Here is a 17992-nt window from a genome sequence, read left to right as displayed (position 1 = left end):
TAGTGGTACTCAAAAACTTCAGCCAGTGCAAAAAGAGCTTACAAGTTTCTCTAGTCTGTGGTGCTTTGTGACAAGCTTTTCTGAGATCTAATTACTGTTGCCAGCTTGTATTTCACGATCACAGGAGGAAGTAAAGCTCAGTGGGTGAAAGCCAACCCACAATTACATAACCAATGCTTTAGGACATCCAATCCTTTTCCAAGTGTAGTACGGGGTTCAGCGTTCTGAGCACTGGGGGAGTGGGGTTGGGAGAGCTATTTCTAATGCAACTAGACCTTATAAAAGATGGCAATTTAGGGACAGCAGCTGTGTTATTAAAAAATTCAGTAACCTCAAAAATAATCTGCATTTCAAAATGTTCCATCATTAGAATATATGCCTAGAAAACTAAGGCTCCAGTCAAGAAAATGGTGTCAGCCAACTGGGAGAGGCAGGACAGCACTGGATTCTGAGTCACCCCCTGGACTGTGTGTAATGCAAAGTGTGAGTAGGGAAACACTGGATCTTCCTAGAATACCCACTTTGATTCCTCATTATAAAACAAACAACCAACAAGCAAAATGTCATCTCACAAAGATATCACTCAAGGAACGAACCCCCGGTTATATGTGCACCTTCTGGGTCCTATGTGCAAGCATTCAAGCACTCAGCCCTAGTACCATGTTCTCTGTCAGAAAGGACCAGCACCAGGAGAAGACAGTGGCATCATCCCTTGGATTAATTGCTGGCCTTGCCCAAGATTGCAACATTCAAGCAATATGGACTTTTTAAGGCAAGGGGAAAAACCAACAACAAAAAGTTCAACCTTCCAACATATCAGGGACCCTGACCCCAAGTCCTTCCCACTGGAATTGTGCAGTTTTCTTCTTATATACCTTTCTTTTGGACTAAAATAGTGGTTCTTAACAAATGGTTAATACTCCTATAAAAGAAACTATTATTTCACTGAGAAGCAAAGAAATTCAAATTATAAAAACAAGCCGGTTACCAAAATAACTAGTAAAGTTTAAGAAATGACAAAGGTCAATGTTAAAAAAAGTAAAGAGATCTTCTCAAACACTGTTGCTTACAGAAGTATAAACTGGTTCAATCTTTCAGGAAAGCAATATGGAAATAGACTGAAAGCCTTCCAAATATTTACAGTCTCACACTCAGTGGTTCTTTTTTGCAGCAATCTATCCTTAGGGAAATACACAAAAGTACAGGCAAGGGTTTGTGCACAGTCACCCATCGCAGCACTACAAATAACAGCAAAACTTAGATCCAATATAAGTACCCAACATTAGGAACATGGTTAAGTAAACCATGGCATATCTAACTGGTAAAATACTACAGTCACTAAAAATGGTTTCCTAAGTGTTTTCAAGTAATGTGAGAAAATTCTTTCAAAACAACGTTAAACTGAGGAAAGGGGAGGATATAACATTTCACACAGGGTGATTTTTACATACACAGTAGTCACCCCTTCTCCACAGGCGATACATTTCCAGACCCACGGTGGATACCTGAAATGCAGGATGGTTCAGAACCCTATATATACCATTTTTTCCCTATAGATATGTACTTATGATCATGTTTAATTTATAAATTAAGCAAAGTAAGAGATTTACAACAATACTAATAAAATAAACCCAGAATGCCAGCATCACTGCTCTTGGCTTTGGGTCCATTATTAAGTAAAGGAAGGGTTACTTGAACACAAACACCCTGAAACCAAGACAGTTGATCTGGTAAGTGAGATGGCTGCTGAGTGGCTAAAGGGGCGGGAGTCATACAGCATGGATATGCTGGACAAAGAGAGGCTTCCTGTCCAGGGTCACACAGAGCAGGATGGCTCGACATTTCATCACACTGCCCAGAATAGTGCACAATTTAAAACTTACGAGTGGATTATTTCTAGAATTTTCCAGTTAATATTTTTGGACGATGGTTGACCACAGGTAACTAAAACTGCAGAAAGTGAAGCTGCAGGTGAGGGGGAAGCTACAGTGTCTTTATCATATGAATGAAATGATATAGTCCAAAATGGTAAAAGAGTTATGCCCTGAGTTATGAGATTAACATTACATGAGATATTAAAAATAAATCATTGTCTCCAGTCCTGACTCAGATTACCACCTAGTGGCCTAGAACAAGGTGACTTTACCTCTTTGTATCTGGTTTTCTAATCAGCAAAACCAGAATTACAGTACTCTCAGAGAGCTGCTGGGAGAATTTGGTAATGGTCAAAAGCCTTAATATGTATAGATGAGAGATACTGAATTATATACTGGCTCCCGCTCCCCCCACCGCCCCTCCCCCCCTTTTTTTTTTGAGACAGAGGCTGGAGCGTAGTGGTGTGATCTCAGCTCACTGCAACCTCTGCCGTCTGTGTTCATGCGATTCTCATGCCTCAGCCTCCCAAGTAGCTGGGATTACAGGTGTGTACCACCACACCTGGCCAATTTTTTTTTTTTTTTTTTTTGAGACGGAGTCCCCGTGTCACCCAGGCTAGAGGGCAATGGTGTGATCTCGGCTCACTGCAACTTCCACCTCCTGGGTTCAAGTGATTCTCCTGCCTCAGCCTCCTGAGAAGCTGAGATTACAGGCACACGTCACCATGCCTGGCTAATTTTTGTATTTTTAGTAGAGACGGGGTTTCACCATGTTGGTCAGGCTAGTCTCGAACTCCTGATATCGTGATCCACCCGCCACGGCCTCTCAAAGTGCTGGGATTACAGGTGTGAGCCACTGCGCCCGGCCCAATTTTTGTATTTTTAGTAGAGACGGGGTTTCACCATGTTGGTCAGGCTAGTCTCGAACTCCTGATATCGTGATTCACCCGCCACAGCCTCTCAAAGTGCTGGGATTACAGGTGTGAACCACCGCGCCCGGCCCAATTTTTGTATTTTTAGTAGAGACGGGGTTTCACTATGTTGGCCAGGTTGGTCTTGAACTCCTGGCCTCAGGTCCTCCTGCCTTGGCCTCTCAAAGTGTTGGGATTACAGGAGTGAGCCACTGTACCTGGCCTTTTTTTCATTCTTAGTTTTCCTTTAGCAAATTCTCCCAGATCCTGATGGCTCCCTTTTTAGAGTAATATTTACTATACAGATTTCTATGACTCACATATTCTCACCCCAAACCCTTCAATTACAAGAAAACAAAGTGCTCTCTACAATCTCATTCTACCCAGCATCCCACAGACAGGGCTCTGACCACAATCACACAACGGTTGGGAATCACATACATTAAATATGCATAAGAAAAAAAGAAAAAGATACAAAGACTGAAGACTCTGCTCTATGCTATACTATATATCACTATTATATTTCATATAAGTGCTCCCTATTAAAATCTTCTTTACAAACTATTTTGAAGCATATTCTTAAAAGTAATAAAGTGAGGCTGGGCGTGGTGGTTCACACCTATAATCCCAGCACTTTGGGAGGCTGAGGCGGGCAGATCACCTGAGGTGAGGAGTTCGAGACCAGCCTGGCCAACATGGTGAAACCCCATCTCTAATGAAAACACAAAAATTAGCCGGACCTGGTGGCAGGTGCCTGTAATCCCAGCTACTTGAGAGGCTAACACATGAGAATCGCTTGAACCCGGGAAGTGGAGGTTGCAGTGAGCCGAGATCATGCCACTGCACTCCAACCTGGGCGACAACGTGAGATTCCATCCCAAAAAAACAAAACAAAACAAAAAAACTAAGTAATAAAGTGCTGTTAAACAGAGGTTGAAAAGGCCACAGAAATATAAAATGAGTAGAATAAGCTAGCTCTGCTTCATCCCACTTCGACTATTTTCCCACTTAAAAGAAATAAAATCGGTCTGAAAATGGGAGGGGGCTAGTGTTTTCTAGTTGATTTAATCTATGCAGAGGTATATCCCAGCTCTTCTTTACTAGGTATTATTGGCCTATTAATACCTTTAATAGGTATTATCTATGTCTGATTCAGAACATTGCCAAGATAGTTGGGGCATAACCACGGAGTTTCCCAGCATTAAAGCAGCAGAGATGCACACAGCACGGGGGCAGAACCAGCAATGCACTCACAGCATGGACTGTGGTGATGGCTGTGAGCCAAGTGAGAGTGAAATGCGGTGTACCCCCGAAGGGGGCTAAGCCATCCTCTAGAGCTGATGGAAGCACAGCTATTATGGAGGGAAGTCCTATAGGGACAGACTCCTCTGGGGAAGGACCAGGCTTTTCCTAAGCAAGCAGCTATCACTTGGACACAGTCAACTGTTCTTCTCTATTCATTTTCCCTCTGCCACAGGAAGATGATTTCAATGAAAACAGGCCCAATAGCCAAAGAACTGCTGTGGGAAGAGGGAGGAAAGGGAATTATTGAAAGGGGAAGTAAGGAGGAAGGATAAGGGGGTTGTAATAACTCAGGAAACTTCAGTAGCTCTCTGTTAAAAAATAAAAAAGTTCCTTGCTGTTTGAAAAAATCTTGAAGCAAAATGGTAGTTCTCGGTAGCTCTTGGCCAGTGATCCAACCAATGGCAAGTAGCAGGGAGGCCAGAAACATAAAAAGCGCAACACCCACAATTCCTCAGAATGTGGTAGAAATGGAGACTATCTAACCACAGAGGGCCCTGGGATATCTATCATCATCTTTATTCAAGACAGAATTTTTGTGATCACTCCTTATTCTCTATACCCTGCTTAATCTGAAGCATAATAGTACTATGCTTTCAAGCCCAGTCCCAGGAGTTCAAGAGCTAAATTTTCTGGTAACAGGAACCCCTTCTTCCAGATTATCAAAGAAGTGTTCATTTTCACAAACAGCAGGTTTTTAATGCCTGTGGGTTAGGGATGGAGGAGGGAAGGATGGGACATACAAGAACCTGTTAATTGCAGCCAGCAATAAAATAGGGTCCAGAAATGGGGATAATTTTCCAAGAAAGGACTACTACTGTTTCTGTTATACTAATATCATGTCTTTGGGAAGCTGTTGAGAATGTATAGACTGCATTCTGATGCTTAGCAGAATTCAGGAAGAATCAGGAATTCAAGAAGCACAGGCTAGAACCACAATAAACAGAACATTAAATGCTGGGCAGAAGCTTAAAGATCCAGTCTAACCCTCCATTTATATCTAAGGAAAGAGAGACCCAGTTTAAACAAGCTTAAACAAACTGCCTAAGTCCACAGCATTCACAGACAGTATTAGGACTACTGACTCTCAAAGACACTTTTTGTCCCAACCTAAAGTCCAGTCTAGAAAAGCCACCTGTAGTTGGTGTGGATGTGGAGAAAGGAGAACTCTTACACACTGGTGGCTGGAATGTAAATTAGTACAGCCATTATGGAAAACAGTATGGAGGTTTCTCAAAATCTAAAAGTTGAACTATCATATGATCCAGCAATCCCACAAATGGGCATTTATCCAAAGGAAATGAATATGTCAAAGGGGTATCTGCACTTCCATGTTTGTTGCAGCACTATTCACAATAGCTAATATATGGAATCAACGTAAGCATCCATCAACGGATGAATGGATAAAGAAAATGTGACATATATAAACAATGGAATATTATTCAGCCACAAAAAGAATAAAATCCTGTCACATGTGGCAACATGGTTGAACCTGGAGGACATTATATTAAGTGAAATTAGCCAGGCACCAAAAGACAAATACTGCATGATCTCACTTATATGTGGAATCTAAAGAAGTTGATCTTACAGAAACAGAGAGTAGAACAGTGGTTACAAGAGACTGGCAAGGGGAGAGATAGTGGGGATGGGGAGAGATTGGTCAATGGGTACAAAATTGCAGATAAATAGGAGGAATAAGTTCTGGTGTTCTACTGCAGGGGTCCCCAAACCCTAGGCTGTGGACTGGTCAGTACCAGTCCATGGCCTGTCAGGAGGAGGTGAGCAGCGGGTGGGCAAGCATTACGGCCTGAGCACCGCCTCCGGTCAGATCAGCAGCGGCATTAGATTCTCATAGGAGCTCAAACTCTATTGTGAATTATGAACTGTGCATGTGAGGGATGTAGGGTGGGTGCTCCTTATGAGAATCTAATGCTGATGATCCGAGGTGGAAGAGTTTTATCCTGAAACCACCACCCCACAGGTCCGTGGAAAAACTGTCTCCCATGAAATTGGTCCCTGGTGCCAAAAAGGTTGGGGACCACTGTTCTATTGCACAGTGACTATGGTTAACAGTATTGTATATTTCAAAATAGCTAGAATAGAGAATTTTAAATATACTTACCACAAAGAAATGATAAATATATGAGGTGACAGATATGCTAAACAGCCTGATTTGATTTTTACACAATGTATACATGTACTGAAACATCACACTATACCCCATAAATATGTATATTATGTAGCAATTAAAAAAAAGAACAAATGGGGCCCCAGTTTCCGTATCAATAAAATGAAAGTCAGATTGGATAAACTCCACTCTCCCATACCATTCGTCATAGGGCCTTACCAAAAGAGTCAATTGTGGTTTGTTGAATTAGACCAAATTTCGGCTATGTAATTCTTAAATTTTATCAACATCTGTGAAAAATGACAAATCATCAAAATACTTATTAATCTGCCAAAGAATTACTGTTTTTAATGCTAATTTTGTCAAGTAAACAAATATTTTTAATCAGTGAAAAGTAATTATGTAACAATTATTTTTGAATGATTAAAATTTTTCTTGCAAGCTGATGGAGTAGGAGCAAAATGGAATGTGGAGACGGCTGTACTTGTGTCAGGGACAAGAAGTGTGTTACTGGGGATATAAATAACAACATGGCAGAGGGGTTATGTGTGAGGAGGAGATGTTTACATCTCAACTGTTTGACACACGATTTCAGACCTTGTTTAAGCATGGAGAGAAAGACACATATGGTTGTGGTTATACAAACAATCAAGTGGTTTTGTTTTAACTGAGCCTACTTTAAAAGTGACATGAAATGCTGAGATTTCGAGTGGCTTTCTTATTGCACAAAATTGCAGAAATATGTGTCACAAGGCTAAACTGACAAGGATATGATGCATCTAAGGACCTTCCCATGGTAAGGCAGAAAAGGAAAAGCAAAGTATCTTTTGAAAAAAATCAGAAAAACCTGAGTATTTCCAACTGTATAATTCGTGCTGTCATTTCAGGTTAATCTTTTCCAAAACAACATCTTCCCAGCCAGAGGAATTGTGCTAAGTGCAACTGAGATTCAAGTTACTGACCAGGGCTGCCAAGGCATTTGGGTCTGCATATTTTCAATGTTTTTTATTTTTTTAAAGGAACTAGCTATAATGGAGAAATCTGTAGATCAAATGCCCAGAAGAACCTTCAGGCCAGCAATAAATCCTTTTTCTTTCTGTTGGTATTTTCTTCATTATTTTGGGGGTGGCAACACAACCTTACGATTACCAAATACATTTTCTTTCAAGTTTACCTACTGAACATTTCTACATAATAACCACTGAGATACAGATGGAAGTTATGACTGTGAGGTATTTTTCAATTTTAGTTGTTTTTTTTTTTTTTTGGAGACAGAGTCTCACCTGTTGCCCAGGCTGGAGTGCAGTGGCACAATCTCAGCTCACTGCAACCTCCGCCTCCCAGGCTCATGTGATTCTCATGCCTCAGTCACCCAAGTAGCTGGGACAACAGGCGTGTGCACCACCACACCTGGCTAATTTTTTGTATTTTTAGTAGAGACGGGGTTTTGCCATGTTGGCCAGGTTAATCTTGAACTCCTGAGCTTAAGTAATCCACCCGCCTTGGCCTCCCAAAGTGCTGGGATTACAGGCATGAGCCAACGGACCTGGCCATTCTTCAATTTTAGTGGCAATTATCTATTATGAAAAAAACAAACAAACAAAAGGGTATCTGCAAACATTTTTCCACTATTTTTCCATCAAAATGAATTTAGAGATGTAAGCAAATGACCTTTTCATGTCCATTTACTATAAGTAATTTTTATAAGCTACCATATCTTTAGTAAGTAAAATAGAGCTTTCAATGATCAGTTCAGTGCCTCCACAGAGGTTAAAAATTAGCAATTATTTCACTTAAAAATTGTTTATCTACCTCTTCCAATAGACTACACATTATTTTCTCTTTAATCAGCTTCCCAGAATCCAATTTAGAACTTGAACATATAGTGGGTATAGTCACGCACTGCATAACAACATTTTGGTCAAAGGCAGACCACATATATGACAGAAGTCCCAGAAGACAACAACGGACCTGAAAGATTCCTATTGCCTAGTGATGTTGTAGCCCCGTTAGGGCAATGGAATGCATTACCCAAATCTTTGTGGTGATGCTTGGTGTACACAAACCTATTGTGCTGCCAGCTGTATAAATGCACAGCACGTACAATTACATACAGTACATAATACTTCATAGTCATAGTGAGTGACTATGTTATTGGTTTATGTACTTACTATGCTTCATTTAAAAAAAATTTTTTATTCTTATATATATTTTTAGAGGTGGAGTCTCGCTATGTTGCCCAGACTGGTCTTGAACTCATGGGTTCAAGCAATCTTCCTGCCTCAGCCTCCTGAGTAGCTGGGACTACAGGCACACACTATCGTGCCTGGACTATACTATGCTTTTCATCATTATTTTAGAGTGTACTCCCTTCTGTAAAAAAGAAGTTAACTGTAAAACAGCCTCAGGCAGGTCCTTCAGAAGGTAGAAGGCACTGTTATCCATGCATGTTACTGCCTCTGAAGACCTTCCAGTGGGCCAAGATGTGGAAGTGGAAGACAGTGAAACTGAAGATCCTGACCTAGTTCAGGACTGGGCTAATGTGTGTCTGTGTCTTTGCTTTTAACAAAGAAGTTTAAAAAGTAAAACAATTTTTAAAAAAGCTTATATACAGTAAGGATATTAACCCATTTATGCCAGAAGTTGTGAATTTTTTTTTGTGAAAAATCAGACCTTGGCAATGACCTTGAGCAGTAGGATATAAATAACTCCCACAAGCTTAGTGTTCCAATAATGGAGCACTAGGCATAAATGGGGTAAAAATATTTTTTGTATAGCTATACAGTGTATTTGTGTTTTAAGCTGAGTGTTATTATAAAAGATTTGAAAAGTTTTAAAAAGCTGGGTGTGGTGGCACACACCTGTAATCCCAGCTACTTAGGAGGATGAGGTAGAAGGATCACTTGAGCCCAAGAGTTCAAGACCAGCCTGAGCAACACAGCCTGTCTCAAAAAAAGAAAAAGAAGTAAAAAAAAAAAAAGAAAAAAATTAAAAAATACAGGCTAAGTGTACAGTGTTAATAAGTCTATAGTAGTATATACACAGTAATGTCCTAGGCTTTCACATTCACTCCCACTCACTTGCTGACTCACGCAGAGCTACTTCCAGTCCTGCAACTCCATTCATGGTAAGTGCCTTTATACAGAAGTACCAGCTTTTATTTGTTGTTTATTTTTTCTTTATTGTTCATCTGTTGTTTAGATATACAAATACCACTCTGTTATAATTGCCTACAGTATTCAGTATAGTCACATGCTGTAGAAGTTTATAGCCTAGGATTAACAGGCTATACCATATAGCCTAGGTGTGTAGAAAGCTATACCATCTAGGTTTGTGTAAGTACACTCTATGATGTTTCCACAATGACAAAATTTCCCAGGGATGCACTTCTCAGAACATTATCCCCATCATTAAGCAACGCATATGACTATTCAGTAAATGCTAGCTGACTCACTGATTGAATAAACTGGTATAAACAAGGGCCCAAAACATAGGAATCCATCTTTAGTACCAGACAAGAAAGTTTGCACCCCTGTTTTCAGTGGGTTTTATGTATTAATAAATCTCATTTCCTGTATTAGAGATTCAGAAAATATTCCTAGACAATTATTTAGATGAGTAGTTAAAATGCAGAGACCTTTTGTAATATTTTTTTTAAAACCATTAAGTATTGCTTTAATACTCTTGTAACTTGAGTTTGTTTTGATAATGTATAACAATGACAACCAAAGGTCACTGCAGGCCGGGCGCGGTGGCTCACGCCTGTAATCCCAGCACTTCAGGAGGCTGAGACAGGTGGATTTCTTGAGCTCAGGAGTTTGAGAACAGCCTGAGCAACATGGCAAAACCTGTGGTCCCAGCTACTCTAGGGACTGAGGTGGGAGGACAGCTTAAGCCCGTGAGGTGGAGGTTGCAGCAAGTTGAAACCAGGCCACTCCACTCCAGTCCGGGTAACAGAGCCAGACTCTGTTTTAAGGTCAATGCATTTTCCTATATGATTCATTTAACAGAATGATGACTTTATAATTATTTGATAATATTTTATTTTCCTGTCCCCAATTGGAATTCAAATAACAAATGTTTGGCTCCTATTATAGTTAGATTTTTGCCTTCATTGAAGCTTCCTCCCGGTCTGTACAGGCAAACAAGTCTCTCTTAAACCAGGCCAATATTGATGAGGGATAAATCAGTAAATCAGTGTAAATGTCAGACTCAGAAAATAATATTTAGTATATCTTCATGATATTGGCAGTATATACCAACATGATATTTTCACCTCAACGTTAGACCACCGCCTGATTTTAGAAGTTTGGACATAGCATACTGCCTAGTATCCCATCAAATGCAATGGATTTAGCACAGAAAGTGTTACTCTCTAGATCTATTTTTTTTTTTTAATAATCTTGGCTTATTTGTAAAATCCAATTAGCTCTAACAACACTACAAACCCCTGAAGCTTAGTACCAATGAGCCAGTGCCTAAACTCTTGTCTCTGAAACCCATATTCCTCAACAGCAACCTTAGTTCCTTGGAAAATTATAAATTCTTATTTGTCCTGAGCTACTAATACAATCAAAGGAAAGGTAAGAATGAACAAGATGAAACAAGACTTTAAATACTGAAAATGCAAAACCGAATCCAAACTTCTAACCCCTATCTGTGCAACCTGGGTCTTTGATAAGAAATCAGCTCAAGTTTGATGGATATTCTACAGTATAAACTTCAATGCGGGCTTAGAAAAATTCTTTTTTTTTTTTTTTTTTTTGAGACAGAGTCTTACTCTGCTGCCCAGGCTAGAGTGCAGTGGCGTGATCTCGGCTCACTGCAACCTCCGCCCCCCAAGTTCAAGCGATTCTCCTGCCTCAGCCTCCCGAGTAGTTGAGATTACAGGCCCCTGCCACCATGCCTGGCTAATTTTTGTATTTCAGTAGAGATGGGGTTTCACCATCTTGGCCAGGCTGGTCTTGAACTCCTGACCTCGTGACCCACCCACCTCGCCCTCCCAAAGTGCTGGGATTAAAGGCGTGAGCCACCACGCCTGGCCAAAAAATTCTTACAGGCACACGCACAAAAAATAATCTGTGTCAGCTAGCCTTCAAGATGGTGCCCAGATATCCCATCCCCATGGAGTTAGTGCCTCCCATATCATACCAGGGTTGGGCTGTGTGACCAAGAGAATATGGCAATAGTGATGGGTATAAAAGACTGCAGTTTTGTCTTGATTCTTACTCTCCCTGCTTCTCTCACACATCATTCCCTCTGGGAGAAGCCAGCTGTCACAGCCTTGCCCTAGGGAGAGACACATTACCTCTTACCAGAGATAAGAAACTGAAGGCTCTGGCCAAGTCAGCAAGGAACTGAGGTCAGCTAACAGCCATGTCAGTGGGCTATATAATATAAAACTATATTAATTTTATATTAAAACTAATATAAAATCCAAAAGATAGGAAGATCCTGTAACAAGTAGAAGACTGTTCCAAGAAGACAAAGACAGGAATTTAGCAAAAAGTTACACAAAGCACAGAGGTTACTTTTTATTTTTTTTGAGAGAGTCTTGCTCTGTCATCCAGGCTAGAGTGCAGTGGCTTGATTTTTGGCTCACTGCGACCTCCACCTCTTGGGCTCAAGTGATTCTCCTGCCTCACCCTCCCAAGTAGCTGAGATTACAGGCACCCACCACCATGCCCAACTAATTTTTTCTATTTTTAGTAGAGACAGGGTTTCACTGTGTTGGCCAGGCTGGTCTCGAACTCCTGGCCTCAAGTGATCTGCCTGCCTCGGCCTCCCAAAGTGCCAGGATTACAGGCATTAGTCACCATGTCTGGCCACAGAGGTTACTTTCTAAACATTAAATTTAGCATTTTCTGTTAACATAAATGCACTCATGGCCGTAGACGAGAATGGATATGTTTCAGATTTGGAGAAGAATAGTCAAAAAAAAAAAAAGCTGAAAGGATCAAAAGCACTTGATTCTCTTGCAGAGCCAGCTTCCTGTTTTGGTTGAGGAAGGAGCTGCACTTAAAATAACTAGCATAAAGCATGCTTAGGGCTTGCAAAGTCAATGGCAGGAAGCCACAACAAAGAGCTCTGAAAGCAGCCCAACAGAAGGCTGATTCCTCCTGGAGAACTGCATCCTGAGAAAGGCTAAGAGAAGAGGCGCTTGCATAGTCAGTGAGTGGGAACGAACACAAGCCCATCAGCATGTGGCTCTCCTCTGTGACACTCTGACCCCTTGGCTCTAGGTATACTTGCTTACGTGGCAGGATACCTTTCTCCCACTCACCACATTCTTGCCAATAGTTAAAGGTGTGGTAAAGTGGGAGAATGAAAGTCAATGAATGAAAAGAACTAGTGCTGTAAAATTCAAATATTTTATTTTGATGAATTTTATTTTCTTTCTTTTTTTGAGGCAGAGTCTTGCTCTGTTGCCCAGGCTAGAGTGCTGTGGTGTGATCTCGGCTCACTGCAATCCCCGCCTCCCAGGTTCAAATGATCCTCCCATCTCAGCCTCCCAAGTAGCTGGGACTACAGGTGTGTGCCACCACGCCCAGCTAATTTTTGTATTTTTAGAAGAGATGGGGTTTCACCATGTTGGCCAGGCTGGTCTCAAACTCCTGACCTCAAGTGATCTGCCCTCTTCAGCCTCCCAAAGTGCTGGGATTACAGATGTTAGCCACCACACCTGGCTTTTGATGCATTTTAAATTGAGGTTGTCTGGAAAGCAAGCCCTAAGCATGCTTTATGCTAGTTATTTTAAGTGCAGCTCCTTCCTCAACCAAAACAGGAAGCTGTCCCTGCGAGAGAATCAAGTGCTTTTGATCCTTTCTGCATTTTTTTTTTTTAACTATTCTTCTCCAAATCTGAAAAACCACATCCCGGGAGTACCACATAATAAAAGGATGTATATCAAGGAATTAAGGATGTAATACCTACTTCCTTCCACTACATTAGGTTGATTTCACTGTCCCACCTAAGGCAAATACAGCAGATAAACAACAAATCTCCAAATGCAACTCACACAAAATAGGATCCATATTGAGCTACAAAAATTGTCATTGAGGGAGACAGACTTGTGGTCTAGCCAGCCAAAGCTTTGTGGTCAGCAGGGGGCTCAAGGAATCTATCATAAGAGGACAGGCCTGTCATCACTGACATCAAATCTTATTGCTTATGACTCACCACCCAACCACTAGCCTTTTCTCCAACTTACAGCTTCTCTTTTCCTACAGACTGGAAAATGGATAGCCAAGTTTATAAAGACATGTCTGTTAACCAAGTCAAACAGGCAAAGCATGGTGTTTACTGAGGAATGTTGTGAAGGGATTTATAAATCAAATCACAGTCAAAGTAGGTGGCTACTAAAGATCCTACTCAAATGAGATTTTATAATAGTCAATTATATAGGTAGAAGCCTAAAGCTACAAAACAAAAGCAATGTTTCTTCTTAGTTTTGTTGTTTTTTCCCCCTCTTTTCTTTGGGATTTGAGGTAGAATTGAGTATCACCATAATTCAGAATTGACAGAGTAGATGGTATGTTTAGAATCATAAAACATTTAGTCAAAAGTAATTCTGAAAATTAGAGGTTGTCAAAGCAACTGGGACTTCATTGGCAAAATCCCAATAAAGGAAGAAACCAAAAAGAAGGATCTCAAAAATCTGCACTTAAATCCCCCTCAAGCTGTTGACTAACTCCTAAGTTGAATGTATTCAGGGTGAGTCTTTTAGAAACCCAGGAGAAAGGAGAAGCCAGGATGCTAAAGACCTGATTGGATTTTCATGTGAGAACTCAGAAAGATCATGCTCTAGAAGTAAGGGTCACCCACGAAGGAATAAGAACTACATCCTGGGAGTACCACATAATAAAAATAAAGACTGTATCCCAGTAATAAGACCCAAACTGAAATTGACGAGTCCTGACAAAGCCTAAAACTCAGCCTTGACAGGACAGAGTGACAGGTTGGTACTGTAGTTACCAATCAGAAGAAAATGTAACACTTTTCAGAGGATAATAGTTACAGCCCTTGTATTTTTCATCCAATGTCTGGCATCCAGTAAAAAAATACAAGAAATGCTAAAAAACAGAACAAAAAACTAGAAATCAAGGGGGAAAAAAAGGTAATACAAACAAAACAAACACCAAACATAACTGAATCAGATAATGGAGTGTTAAGGTAGAGATTTTCAAAATAATGACTAGCATGTCCAAGAAAATAGGGAAAAGGAGGGATTAAATAGATAAAAAGATAGAAAATATCAATGGAGAATCTATTGGAGTCCATATATATACAAAGAATCCTGGCCGGGTGTGGTGGCCCATGCCTGTAATCCCAGCACTTTGGGAGGCCAAGGTGGGTGGATCACTTGAGGTCAGGAGTTCAAGACCAGCCTGGCCAACATGGTGAAACCCCGTCTCTACTAAAAATACAAAAATTGGTCGGGTGTGGTGGCGGGCGCCTGTAATCCCAGCTACTCGGGAGGCTGAAGCAAGAGAATCACTTGAACCTGGGAGGTGAAGGTTGCAGTTAGCCAAGGTCACGCCACTGCATGCCAGCCTGAGCAACAGGGCGAGACTCCGTCTCAAAAAAAAAAAAAAAAAAAAAGAATCCAATGGGCTGGGCGCGGTGGCTCATGCCTGTAATCCCAGCACTTTGCACTTTGGCAGGCAGAGGAGGGCAGATCACCTAAGGTAAGGAGTTCGAGACCAGCCTGGCCAACACGGTGAAACCCCGTCTCTACTAAAAATACAAAATTAGCTGGGTATGGTGGTACACGCCTGTAATCCCAGCTACTCAGGAGGCTGAGACATCAGAATCGCTTGAATCCAGGAGGCAAAGGTTGCAGTAAGCCAAAATCGTGCCACTGCACTTTAGCCTGGGTGACAGAGTGAGACTCTGTCTTAAAGAAAGAAAAAAAAAATATCCAGTGGCCATTCTAAAAGTAAAAAAAAAAAAAAAAAAAAATTACAATATGGTAATTAAGAACTTCATAGGCTTAATAGCAGACCACAAAAAAATAGAAGAAAGCAATAACAAACTGGAATACAGGGCAACAGAAAATATCTAAACTGAATGAGAGAGAAAAATTAACAAACAAAAAAAAAATAGAAAGGAGGATAAGAGACAGTGAAGGGCTCTCTTCTCAGAATCCCAGAAGGAAGAGTAAAAAAATGGGAAGAATATTTGAAAAGATAATGGCCAAAATCTTTCCAAAACCAATAAAAGAGTATACAAATTCAAGAAAGTCAGTGCTATGGTTTAAATGTTTGTCCCCTTCAAAATTCATGTTGAAATTTAACTGCCATTGTAACAATATTAAGTAGTGAGACTTTTAAGAGGTCAGTAGGCCATGAAGTAACAAGTTGCTCTTAGGTTCCTGAAGATTCTGCCCTTATGGGTGAGACTGATATCCTTATAAAAGAGTGAGTTCAGGCCCCCTTCTCTTTCTTTGCCCTTCTGCCATGTGAAGATGCAGCAAGAAGGTTCCTGTCAGAAGCTGGCACCTTGACATTGGACTCTTCAGCCTCCAGAACTGTGAACCAATACATTTCTGCTCATTTAAAATTACCCAGTCTGTGGTATTCTGTTACAGCAACACAGAACGAACTGTCAGCAAATCTCAGGTTGAATAAACAAGTAAAATCACACTTCACCACATGATTGTCTGACATGTCTGTTAACAAAGTCAAACAGGCAAGGCATAGTGTTTACTGGAGAATGTTGAGAATTAAATCAGGGTCAAACTGGACAGTTTCTGAGAATCCTACCGAATTGTCATTTTATAATATTAGGTGATGAGGGGTGACCTAAAGCTACAAAGCAAAGCCTATGTCAGTTGGTAATTTCTTCATAGGCTTTTATCCTGCTTACTTTGTCTATTATCATTATTTCTATTCAGCATTTCCCAGGAGGTCCTAGACAACATATTAGGGAAGAAATTAAATAAAAGGTATAACGTTGGAAAGGAAGAAGTAAAAACTGACATCTGCATTTGTGATTACAGGATGGTAGATGCAGAAAATCCAAAAGATTCCACAAACAATTATGATTAATAAGTGAATGTGGCAAGTTTGTTGAACAGGAGGCCAATATTGCATTGTCATACACTACCAACAAAAAATTAGAAAACAAAATTTTAAGAACGTTATTTACAATAATATACACATAAAGATCAAATACCTAGGAAGATATCTAAAGAAAAATTATGTAAAAGTGTGCCACAGAAAATGATCAAAACTCTTAAAAAACTTATTTAAGAAGATCAGATGGTTGTAGATGTGTGGTCTTATTTCTGAGTTCTCCATTCTATTCTATTGGTCTATGTGTCTGTTTTTGTACTAGTAACCAATGAAGAAAGGATTCTCTATTTAATAAATGGTGCTGGGAAAACTGGCTAGCCATATGCAGAAAACAGAAACTGGACCCCTTCCTTACACCTTATACAAAAATTATTTAATAACTCAAGATGAATTAAAGACTTAAATGTAAAACCCAAAACTATAAAAACCTTAGAAAAAAATCTAGGCAATACCATTCAGGACATAGGCACGGGCAAAGATTTCATGAAGAAAATGACAAAAGCAATAGCAACAAAAGCAAAAATTGACAAATGGGATCTAATTAAACTAAAGAGCTTCTGCACAGCAAAAGAAAGTATCATCAGAGTGAACAGACAACCTACAGAATGGGAAAAGAATTTTTCAATCTATCCACCCGACAAAAGTCTAGTATCTAGAGTCTACCAGGAACACAAATTTACAAGGAAAAAAAAAAACAACCCCATTAAAAAGTGGGCAAGGGACATGAACAGACACTTCTCAAAAGAAGACATTATGTTGCCAACAAACATAGGACAAAGAGCTCAACATCACTGATCATTAGAGAAATGCAAATAAAAACTACAATGAGATACCATCTCACGCCAGTCAGAATGACAATTATTAAAAAGTCAAGAAACAACAGATGCTGGCGAGGTTGTGAAGAATAAGGAATGCTTTTACACTGTTGGTGGGAGTTTAATTAGTTCAACCATTGTGGAAGACAGTGTGGTGATTCCTCAAAGATCTAGAAGCAGAAATACCATTTGATCCAGCAATCCCACTACTGGGTATATAGCCAAAGAAACAGAATGATTTATATATATTCATTGCAGCACTATTCACAATAGCAAAGACATGGAATCAACCCAAATGCGCATCAATGACAGACTGGATAAAGAAAATGTGGTACATGTACACCATGAAATACTATGCAGCCATAAAAAGGAACGAGAGCATGTCCTCTGCAGGGACATGGATGAAACTAGAAGCCATTATCCTCAACAAACTAATGCAGGATCAGAAAACCAAACACTGCATGTTCTCACTTATAAGTGGGAGCTGAACAATGACAACACATGGACACATGGCAGGGAAAAATACACACTGGGGCCTGTTGTGGGTGGGAGTGAGGGGAGGGAGAGCATCAGGAAGAATAGCTAATGGATGCTGGGCTTAATACCTGGGTGATGGATTATCTGTGCAGCAAACCACCATGGCACATGTTTACCTACATAATAAACTTGTACATCCTGCACATGTACCCTGGAACTTAAAAGCTGAAGAAAAAAAACTTATGTAAGAAGACTTAAATAAATGAAGCTGGTCATGAATTAGAAGACTTGATAATACAAATTGTCAATTCTCCCCAACTAGATTTACAGATTCAACGGAATCATAATAAAAATGCCCCAGGAGTTTTTATTTATTTACTTGTTGGTAGAAAATGACAAACTGACTTTA

General features: G+C 40.2%; 1 protein-coding gene across 7 annotated transcripts in view, besides 1 other annotated feature; it reads right to left on the bottom strand.

Moving 5' to 3' along the window:
* Positions 1 to 17992, bottom strand: part of LONP2 (lon peptidase 2, peroxisomal) — a 118704-nt gene that overhangs the window by 31864 nt on the left and 68848 nt on the right. The window lies entirely within an intron of this gene.
* Positions 11317 to 11939: an enhancer, noted in NCBI's record as "H3K27ac hESC enhancer chr16:48353112-48353734 (GRCh37/hg19 assembly coordinates)". NCBI's record gives its function as "activates a minimal SCP1, AML or CMV promoter by ChIP-STARR-seq in naive and primed H9 embryonic stem cells {active_cell/tissue: H9 hESC(naive and primed)}" and the evidence as "EXISTENCE:reporter gene assay evidence [ECO:0000049][PMID:30033119]".

This window comes from Homo sapiens, chromosome 16, assembly GCF_000001405.40.
Source record: "Homo sapiens chromosome 16, GRCh38.p14 Primary Assembly".
Lineage (NCBI taxonomy): Eukaryota > Metazoa > Chordata > Mammalia > Primates > Hominidae > Homo > Homo sapiens.
This window is presented reverse-complemented; position numbering and strand designations above follow the sequence as displayed.